Source organism: Homo sapiens, chromosome 12 (genome assembly GCF_000001405.40).
Source record: "Homo sapiens chromosome 12, GRCh38.p14 Primary Assembly".
Lineage (NCBI taxonomy): Eukaryota > Metazoa > Chordata > Mammalia > Primates > Hominidae > Homo > Homo sapiens.
Window position 1 is genome coordinate 123,945,105 of NC_000012.12, and position 9,986 is coordinate 123,955,090.

At 49.1% G+C, this 9,986-nt stretch overlaps 1 protein-coding gene across 16 annotated transcripts in view, besides 1 other annotated feature; it reads right to left on the minus strand.

Moving 5' to 3' along the window:
• CCDC92 (coiled-coil domain containing 92) overlaps positions 1-9,986 on the minus strand; it is a 37,206-nt gene that overhangs the window by 9,479 nt on the left and 17,741 nt on the right. For 4 of the 16 annotated variants that reach the window (NM_001304958.2, XM_024449194.2, NM_001304960.2 and 1 more), the window contains exon 2: positions 600-696. The exons of 10 other annotated variants lie outside the window; for them this stretch is intronic. The gene's annotated coding sequence lies outside the window, so the exon portion shown is untranslated. Of the gene's footprint in view, positions 1-599; positions 4,360-9,986 lie in introns of those variants that run through there. 2 more of the 16 variants (XM_024449192.2, XM_047429565.1) reach the window with 2 other exon arrangements.
• Positions 9,274-9,775: an enhancer, noted in NCBI's record as "H3K4me1 hESC enhancer chr12:124438925-124439426 (GRCh37/hg19 assembly coordinates)". NCBI's record gives its function as "activates a minimal SCP1, AML or CMV promoter by ChIP-STARR-seq in naive H9 embryonic stem cells {active_cell/tissue: H9 hESC(naive)}" and the evidence as "EXISTENCE:reporter gene assay evidence [ECO:0000049][PMID:30033119]".

Sequence of the window (9,986 nt, forward strand, 5' to 3'; positions counted from 1 at the left end):
CCGACAATAGGGAGTGGGTTAAATAACTTAAGGCGACCATTTCTAGGCATGTTTCTATAAAACAAAGCATAGCTCTCCCTGGCCTTTGACTGCCGTCGCACTGGGCTGCAGATGATGGCAGAGTTGAGTTTCCATCAAGCAGGGCTTTCCTCAGTGGAGCCGTGAGCAGCATTCCGGCAGGAGTGAGAAAGGATGTTTCTGTCCCCGAAACCGTCTCTGTGCTGTAACCGCAAACTCTCCTGTGTAGGCTGCTGGGCCAGACACTAGTTTCTAAGTGGAACCCCACAGTTCCCGAGATCCCAACACTGTCTGCACAGCACGTGGTCTTGGGGGGCGCTGACCTTAACAAAGGAGCCAGCTACAACCAAGGCAGGTTCAGCGTGTGGCACACGTGTGCCGCGTGCTTGCTGTGGAAAGGGTGAGCACCTTCTGACCTTGCCCTTCCCTCACAAAGCAGAACGCTTGAAAGCGGAACAGCCTCAGCGTCAAAGGAAGGAAAATCCCAGGAGCGCCTGAGAGCTGTCAGTAGCGGTGCCTACGTTTTCCTTCCACTCAGCAATCCGGAGTCGTTCACTCTGGCATCAATTCCAGCACCTCACCTGGAGGCTGAATCCCGAAGAGCTGAAAGGGGTTTGGAAGTGGGAACTCTAGCAGAGATGCTTTCAAAGGACAGACTCAAATCCAGGATTCTGTTGGCTGATGGAAGAAGCAGAGCCCATATGTTAGTGGCTTGCTGTCAAAGAGAAAGAACCATTTAAATGTGATCCAGAATTTAGTGGGTCTTGGATGACAGGAGAGCTGCCCTAGGCCTAGTGTCCTACCCCTCACAAGCACTGTCCCCAGCTGCACAACCTGGGGGTGGCCTTGACGCTGGCATCCCCCGCCATCCATTTCCAGTCCATGATGATCTTGCTGGCATCCTGCTTTGAAAGCAGCTCTCAGATCCGTTCAACTCTCCCCGTCTCCGCTGCTGAGGCCGTCCTCACCCTCACCCAAATCCCTGCCAGAAAGCCTCCCTCTGTCCTCTCCTACCTGCTCCATTCTGCTCTCCACGTGGCAGCAGAGTGATCTTGTTTTTAAATTGAGACTACTTAAAAACCTCCAATGGTTCCCACTGCTCTGAGAATCAGACTGGTCTGCCCGGCCCTGCAACTGGCCCCGCCACCCTCGCTGGCCCTTCTCCTACCCCCAGGGCTCCAGGTGGCACGAGCTTTCCTCCGGGTGCCCTGCTGGGCTGTGCTTCTCCCACCCTGGTGCCCTCTCATGGCTCCTCCTCTGCCCAGAACACTCTTCTTAGGCCTCTCTCCCACCCACCTCTCCTGGGTCTCCACTGTCTACTTATCCTTTAGGTCTCAGTACAAGTTTACTTCCTCCCGGAAGCCCTGGCCCCCAGACTCGGGTGCATTACCACCCTGTCCCCAGTTCTAGTCTTTGTGTCTCTGTGAGGGTCTGTAAGTGTGGGTCTGTTTCCCGCCTCCTCGCACAGACTCCAGATTGTTCACTGCTGCACCCTAAGCCCTAGCACAGTGCCTGGCACCCTGGAGGCCCACGAATGGGCCTGGTGCCAGTCTGTTGAGTGCAGCTGTGGTGCCAGAGGAATGTAAGGGCTTCAGGGTTGAAAAGCTTTTGTTTCCATGGGCTTCCTATTTAGGTGCTTCTGAGAAGTGACAGCCTGCTGGCAGTCCTCACAGCCCTCGCTTGCTCTCAGCACCTCCTCTGCCTGGGCTCCCACTTTGGCGGCACTTGAGGAGCCCTTCAGCCCACCGCTGCACTGTGGGAGCCCCTTTCTGGGCTGGCCAAGGCCGGAGCCCGCTCCCTCAGCTTGCAGGGAGGTGTGGAGGGAGAGGCGCAAGCAGAACCGGGGCTGCGTGCGGCGGCGCTTGCAGGCCAGCTGGAGTTCTGGGTGGGCGTGGGCTTGGCGGGCCCCGCACTCAGAGCAGCCAGCGGGCCGGCCCTGCCAGCCCTGCCGGCCCCGGGCAATGAGGGGCTTAGCACCCAGGCCAGCAGCTGCAGAGGGTGTACTGGGTCCCCTAGCAGTGCCAGCCCACCAGCGCTGCACTCAATTTCTCACCAGGCCTTAGCTGCCTTCCCGCAGGGCAGGGCTCGGGACCTGCAGCCTGCCATGCCTGAGCCTCCCACCCACTCCATGGGCTCCTGTGCTGCCCGAGCCTCCCCGACCAGTGCCGCTCCCTGCTCCATGGTGCCCAATCCCATCGACCACCCAAGGGCTGAGGAGTGCAAACGTACGGCGCGGGACTGGCAGGCAGCTCCACCTGCAGCCCCGGTGTGGGATCCACTGGGTGAAGCCAGCCGGGCTCCTGAGTCTGGTGGGGACGTGGGGAACCTTTATGTCTAGCTCAGGGATTGTAAATACACCAATTGGCACTCTGTATCTAGCTCAAGGTTTGTAAACACACCAATCAGCACCCTGTGTCTAGCTCAGGGTTTGTGAATGCACCAATCGACACTCTGTATCTAGCTACTCTGGTGGGGCCTTGGAGAACCTTTGTGTGGATACTCTGTATCTAACTAATCTGATGGGGAGGTGGTGAACCTTTGTGTCTAGCTCAGGGATTGTAAACACACCAATCAGCACCCTGTCAAAACAGGCCACTGGGCTCTACCAATTAGCAGGATGTGGGTGGGGCCAGATAAGAAAATAAAAGCAGGCTGCCCGAGCCAGCAGTGGCAACCCGCTCGGGTCCCCTTCCACACTGTGGAAGCTTTGTTCTTTCGCTCTTTGCAATAAATCTTGCTACTGCTCACTCTTTGTGTCCACGCTGCTTTTATGAGCTGTAACACTCACTGCGAAGGTCTGCAGCTTCACTCCTGAGCCAGTGAGACCGCGAACCCACCAGAAGGAAGAAACTCCGAACACATCCGAACATCAGAAGGAACAAACTCCAGATGCGCCACCTTAAGAGCTGTAACACTCACGGCGAGGGTCTGCGGCTTCATTCTTGAAGTCAGTGAGACCAAGAACCCACCAATTCCGGACACACTTCCTTTACAGGCACACCTTGCTCAAAGAAAACGGGATATACTAAAACATCCCGAAATGAGATGACCACCTCACCCGCCATGATGGCACAAAATGGGATGTGCCTATATGTAGATGTCAGTATTTTCTTCTACGCTCTCCCACGGGGGCAGAGGGGAATGGAGTACAAATGTTATCAGCAGCCATCTCTATCATAGTGTGGTATTACATTTCATTTGTAACAAATTTAAATATGATTTAGTAAGTATTCATACTCTAACTGCCTTGGTCAATCAGCAACTTTGAATTATAACAACGCTGTGTGTCATTAATCCACTCTGTTAACTGCAGAAATACAAAAGCGTCCTTAAAGCGTCCCATTATAATGGGCAGACAGCCTGGAGAAGAAACGGCAGGCGAGCAGGGAGAGTGTGACCATGTAACGCGCAGAGCTCCACAGTGAGCGCTGGTGAGCCACTCGGAGCCCTCACAGTGGGGGACAAGGGTCTCCTGGCCTGGGGCATTTCACTGACTGTCGCTCTCCCCTTCTTCCACACTCTGTGCTGACTGAAAAGGCCCTGACATGGAGACGCCATCTGTGCAGGGCATTCTACAGCTGTTAGGATATTCCTGAATAAGGCAGGTCCACTTGGGGCCAGGGAAACAAAACACATCTCCAAATGGCATCCAGATTACTCAATTATTTTCTCATCAGCTCAAAAGAGTAACAATATCACTGGCTTTCTGAGGGCAAAAGAGTTTTCACGGCTGAAAAGACAGTGGTGTTTTCCATTGCGATCCTTCACTACTGAAGAGAGGTAATCATTGTGATGATGTCATGCTCCCAGTACTGTGACATGACTGAAGCCACCGAGGCATCCTGTTTAGGCTGAGGAGACCCAGCCGGGAGATGCACATAATTCAGAGGGAGAAATGGAGTTGGTCCCAAGAGGCTTAATTCAGTATCAGAGATGCTTTAGAAACATGAAGGAGCATTCAAGACAGATCCCTAAAAGGGTCAGCGTGGCAGATGAAAGGAGAAAGGCAGGGCGTCTGCTGCAGATGAATAACGCCGCCTGCTGAGTAAGGGCACTCACCCCATCTTAGCTGTGTGTCAGCCAGGAATGGAGGGCAGCTCATCCAGCCCGTTTGGCAAAACGCTTGCACTTTCTGTGTCAAAAGGGCATACGCTACAAATTGTGTGCTCTTTGTACTGCAGCAGTCCGTCCTGAGGCAAATCCAATTTTGTTCCTAAGCGTTGCTGAGAGCCATCCGCAATCTTACAGTATTTGCTCAACCAAAGGCGGCAAGGCCAGGACATTGGTCTTCTTCCCTCCTTGGAGATGCTGCCCACAGCTGCAGAAAATGGGGCTCCAACTGACTATCACTTCAGGGCCTGGTCACGGCTGCCAGAGGGCCAGCCCCACCCAGGTGACTTTGCACAGCTCTGCTAGTTTTTCTCCCCACAGAACGCCAGCAGAAGCAATGCAAATGGGTACCTCGAGGGTCAAAGTCCTGCTGAATAGGTTACCTTGATCAGGGCTCAAAGGTTAAGCCACACGTACAGTTTTTCCTATGGCAAATCCACTAGGTAAATTAATTTACTGTTCACTCTACTTGTTCAGAAAGTTAATACTCAAAAAAGGCTTTTCATTCCAAATCCTATAGAGATAGGCTCTGAAGACGTGGCAAGACAGCTTCCTGGATGGGGAAGCGCACTGCCGTCATTTCCTAGTGTCAACGTGTCTGAGGAAGGCCCGGCCTCGCCGAGTATGCTCTCCAGCAGCGTGAAGACAAGGGGCCCTATCAACAGCTCAAGCCGAATTCCATCTTCATTCCAAAGTGCTATCCCTTCCTCTCAGGGCATTAATGTAACATGACGACATAATTCTATCCATGGACCACCTGACTTGCCCGAGCACAGTGTTCTTTCACGTTACTTACATCATTTGCTCTTGCAACCCGCCTCTGGGGAAAAGAGGACACTATCCCATGAAAAGAGAGAACATAAACCAATAAATGCATCTAAGCCTTGCCGCTTCTCCTAGCCCGCAGGTGATGTGGTGACAATCCTGACGTCTGGGGCAGATTTAATTTCATGCAGAAATTCAGATGTTTTCCAAGTTGTGCACATCAAGTCTCTAATACTTTGAAACTGCAGAGGAAACGCAAACACAGCCCACTGAAGTAGCCTTTTGGCCCGGAAGGGAAAGCAGCGTTCCTCCAGAGTCCAGAGCACAGGGCCAGGCCGTCAGAACAGCACTGCTCGCACGGAGGCTGGATCCACTGGCTCTCGAGGGTCCACGTTAGAAAATCACACAGCTGTAAAGGCACTGCCGACCACCCAATACGGCAAAAAGACTCACTAATGACTCTTGCTCGTAATACCAGCAAAGGTTCCTAGGAAGCTGGGTGAGGGTGGGGCTTTCTGGGGCCTTAACAAAGCAGCAAGACTAGCTTAGGAAGAAAGCACAAGGTATTCCACTATGTAGCATGTGCGTCCTGGTCCCTGGGATCCCAGCAGGTGCTCGGTCCCAGGGCCAGGGGCAGACTCACTCTCTTCCCCTGCAAGGCCAGGCTGATAGGAGTCCTCTGGGGGCCAAGTTAGCAATAGGCTATTCCTGGGAAAAAGCAGCACTTGGCTGCCAAAAACAGCTCTGATGTTACCCGTGGGAGGAACCAAGGCCAGACTTATCTTCCCCCTTTTAAAAATATGCCTTTTCCTTTAGTGTCTCTCCTGTGTGCACATCCTCCTTGGCACAAGTTTTCATGGTCAAGCACATTTCTGATCACCTTGCATCTCTCTGACTTTCTTGGGACCAAGCCCCACTGCTCCAGAGGCCCTGCTTGGTCAGCCTGCCCTCCCCAGCGGCATCCCCCTGGGTCCCCTCGGGGCTGGTGTGCTTGTCAACACTCGGGTCCTCTAGCCCCTGGCATGGCCCAGACCCCTCCAACACGGGGCCTTTGCACACCTTGTTCCCTCTGTCTAGAACTCCCATGGCAAACCATCCCCTGCCCCCGCCTCATTAACTTCCATTCTTCCTGCACATCTGAACTCACGCATTACATACGTGCTGCAGATCATTTCCTACCGCTTCATAATGGCACCGAGTGGAGATCTAAACCAGAACTACACTGCGTTCGTCAAAAAGCACCTCAGCAGCATGAATCTGAACATGACCTCACCCCATCATTTCTCAATATTCCAGAAGCAATATTCCAACGTATTCCTGAGACCAATTTCTTGGACAAAAAGAAATGGAATATCTTCGGTAGGAAAGGGTCTCACCATTTAAAAATGGGAGATTGTTTCTGAGCAATCAAGAACAAACGTTATCTTTTAGTTGAACACAAAGCCTGTGGAAACAGGGTAATAATTTTAGAATCTAAAAAAAATAGCACACTAGCACTCAGGTGGTAGCTGTGAATGAGTTATAACAAGCTCTTTTAGATTCTAGTCATGAATAAGTTATGACCCATTCACATTTGGTTCTCTCCTACCATGAACAACGGGAGCCCTGCTGCCCTCTCTGTGCACTTTTGAAAGGCCCTGACCTGGCAGCACTGCCTGGCCCTTAACAGGGCACAGTGTCTCCACGTTTGTGCACAAGGACCTCTGGGGGCTTTTCTGTGGGCACTTTCTGTACCGCTCTGGTGTACTATAGCTTAAGCGTTGCCATCAAGAAAATGAAGGCTGGCCAGAGAACAAAGGCAGCAATTGCAGTGATTAAATGTAACAGGAGGATAAAATGATTCCTAGCAGTGAGGTGGTTTTCTAAGTAGATTCATGGAGTCAGAAAACATTGAGGGTAGAAGAAATCTTCAACATCAGGCATCCAACACCCCTTTGTTTCAAGATTAAGAAACTAAGGCCCAAAGAAGATCTGCTTAACACAATGGGACAAAAGAGACTGGAGTGGACAAACTCTTGAGATATCAGACCGTACTTGGGGCTGTATCTGAACCCTATCTTGTCACCTAAGTCATTGTGATGTCTAACTCATGGGGTGGCTTTAAGTGCTAAAAGCAACCAGGACGGGCCTGGCATAGAGTAGTGCTCAATGAATGTTAGCTATATTATTTTTATGTAAACATTGGTCAATACTTCTATAAATATACCTCAAGATTATTTACTTAGCCAACTAGGGCATTTCCTGAATATTATCTAAGTACGGAAATGAGCTAGCAAAGAAATTCCAATTACTTCCAAAGAGGGAAGGATAAAAGCAAATAGAAGCATTTTCTGGGACCTCTATCCTCCATTTTCACTGGAGAAGAGCCACTGGGGGAGGCAACTAGAGAGGCAGGCAGAGCAAGGAGCCCTGAGGGACAGGAAAGCCTGCTTCTCCCTTTGAAACCATCTATAGTACTTCACGAGGCTAAAAAATGGTCCATGGCTAATTAGGCCATCAACTCTCAATTCCAAATACCTGCTTTTAAGAAAGGACACTCACCATCTCTGAAAATGAATACTGATGTTACTCTGAATTCACAATGAACTGGATAAATAGTTTTGCATGGTAGGACCCTATTATTCCTACTTGTACATGTATCTAAGAAATTCAATTAGTAAGTGAGCTGAAAATCTCTAAAAGTTAAAGTAGCAATAAAAACGGACAACATTTCAAGGAAAGGTAAGTACTCAACAATGACTCCAGGAATATTTTGGTAAAAAGAGTAAACACGATTACAAAGTGGAAGCAAAAAGTAGAAGGCAAAGGTGCAATTATGTTTTAAAAAGATAAAACATCTTGTTGGTTAGTCATTCTTAAAGAATTAGGCTTTTTTAATCTAGCAAAAACAGGTGAGGTTGAGAGCTTAGCACAAGAGTCAGAATCGTGGGTTCCAATTCTGACCCTGCCATATCCGAGTTGCAACCTCTCTGAGTCCTCACCTTTCTCTTCTACAACATGAGAAATAATCAAACCTACATGATACAGTGACTGGGAGGGTAAAATGAGATTTTTTGTATAAAACATTTTGCAGTGTGTCTGGCTTATTGTGATAAAGTGGTAACTGAACTAAATTTGGACTCATCCAAATGCGGAAACTTTGGATGGGGATGTTTTGTGGGTTCCCCTATTCCTGGCTAAGCAGCAGACATCTTTTAATAGGCACATCTCTAAAAGCTAGAAGAGGAAAGAAAACTCCAGTAGCAACCAAAAAAAAAAAAAAAAGTCATTTTTTGCAAGATAATCACCACACAAAATAATCTCAACGTCTGTCAAGGGGCTAGCATGGCACATCTAAAGTATGCAATAATTTAAAATAGTGTAGATCTATATTTACCGACAAGGTAATATGTCTATGATAGGTTAAGTTTGTAAACAGTATGTTAAAAATTGTATGTATATTATCACATTTTTGATATGTGTAGAAGGATATACACCAAAGTGTTAAAACATTTGTCTCAGCCAGGCACAGTGGCTCATGCCTGTAATCCCAGCACTTTGGGAGGCCAAGGCTGGTAGATCACGAGGTCAGGAGATGGAAACCATCCTGGCTAACATGGTGAAACTCTGTCTATACTAAAAATACAAAAAATTAGCTGGGCGTGGTGGCACACGCCTGCGGTCCTAGCTACTCGGGAGGCTGAGGCAGGAGACTTGCTTGAACCTGAGAGGAGGAGGTTGCAGTGAGCTGAGATCATGCCACTGCACTCCGGCCTGGGCGACAGAGCAAGACTCCGTCTCAAAAACAAAAACAAAAACAAAAACAAAAATTAGCCAGGTGTCGTGGCATCCGCCTGTAATCCCAGCTACTAGGGTGACTGAGGCAAGAGAATCGCTTGAACCCAGGAGGCGGAGGTTGCAGTGAGCCGAGATCTCGCCACTGCACTCCAGCCTGGGCAACAAGAGGGAAACTCCATCTCAAATAAACAAACAAACAAACAAATAAACATTTGTCTCTAGATGGTGGACTCGGTGATTTTTACCTTTTAAAAGTTCTATTTTAGTACTATCTAAAGCTTCTTTAATGATGAACATATAGTCAGAAAAAATAAAGTTTTCTCTTAAAAAAGATAATCACTAAATATCCACTAACAAAGTAGTATCATATGTTTTAATAATATTGTTCCAGGGTAATCTTGGATTGCTAAAATTGTGATTGGTTTACCATCACCAAGAATAATTAATGGGAAGGTAGTTGTTACAAATGTAACAATTTCGTGTCCCAAAGATATGCAGAAAATGACAATGATGAGAACTTAGGTGCCTCCCACCATGCATTATACATTCCTGTCATTCTCTGACATTATCCTTCATATGTATTTTATTTTATTAAGGCTCATCGACAATTCTTTAGACATTGACAGCCATTTCCTTCTGAAAGAACGTGCAGCCTAACATTAAAGTCGTAATGGATGTGATTAGAGAGCCTGACAATTACACATGGAAAGAGGGTACGCAGCCTGTCTGGGAAGGCTGCAGTCACTGGAGGCCTACATGATGGACTTATTAACTGGGTTTCTCTGCACTCCGATTATCTCATACTTTAAGAGTTTCTATTTGGCTTCTATTTAAAAACCATGTCACGGGTCTGTACACTGATGAGGGCTTGGCTTTTCTGTGTGAAAATGCCTCATGAAGAAAGCAAGTCTATATTTCCGGTTGCCCACGGGTGTCTTTTAACTGGCCTGTGCAGGCCAAGATAGGCAAATACATGTGCTCCTACCATCTGTGTCGTGTGGTGCCTTCTGGGAGTGTCCTGGGCCTCATGGAAGTTTGGGTTCCTAACCGCCAGGAGGCCAGCGGGCGGCAGACCCCACCCCAGGAGGAGGGAGCACCAGCATTCCATCTCCGGACCCTCAGAGCTGGAGGGGCGATGCCCATACAGTGTCAACTCTGCACTTTCTATTCCAAAGACACAGGCTCAGGGAGAAGTTGCTTCTGGGGGAGGAGGTGACCGATGGGGCCATGGAGGTGCTGCTCAGGCCCTTCCTGCCCTCCGTGCATCCTCCTCCTGCCCTTTCTCAGCAGCCCCCAGTATGACTGCCCTCTGGGGA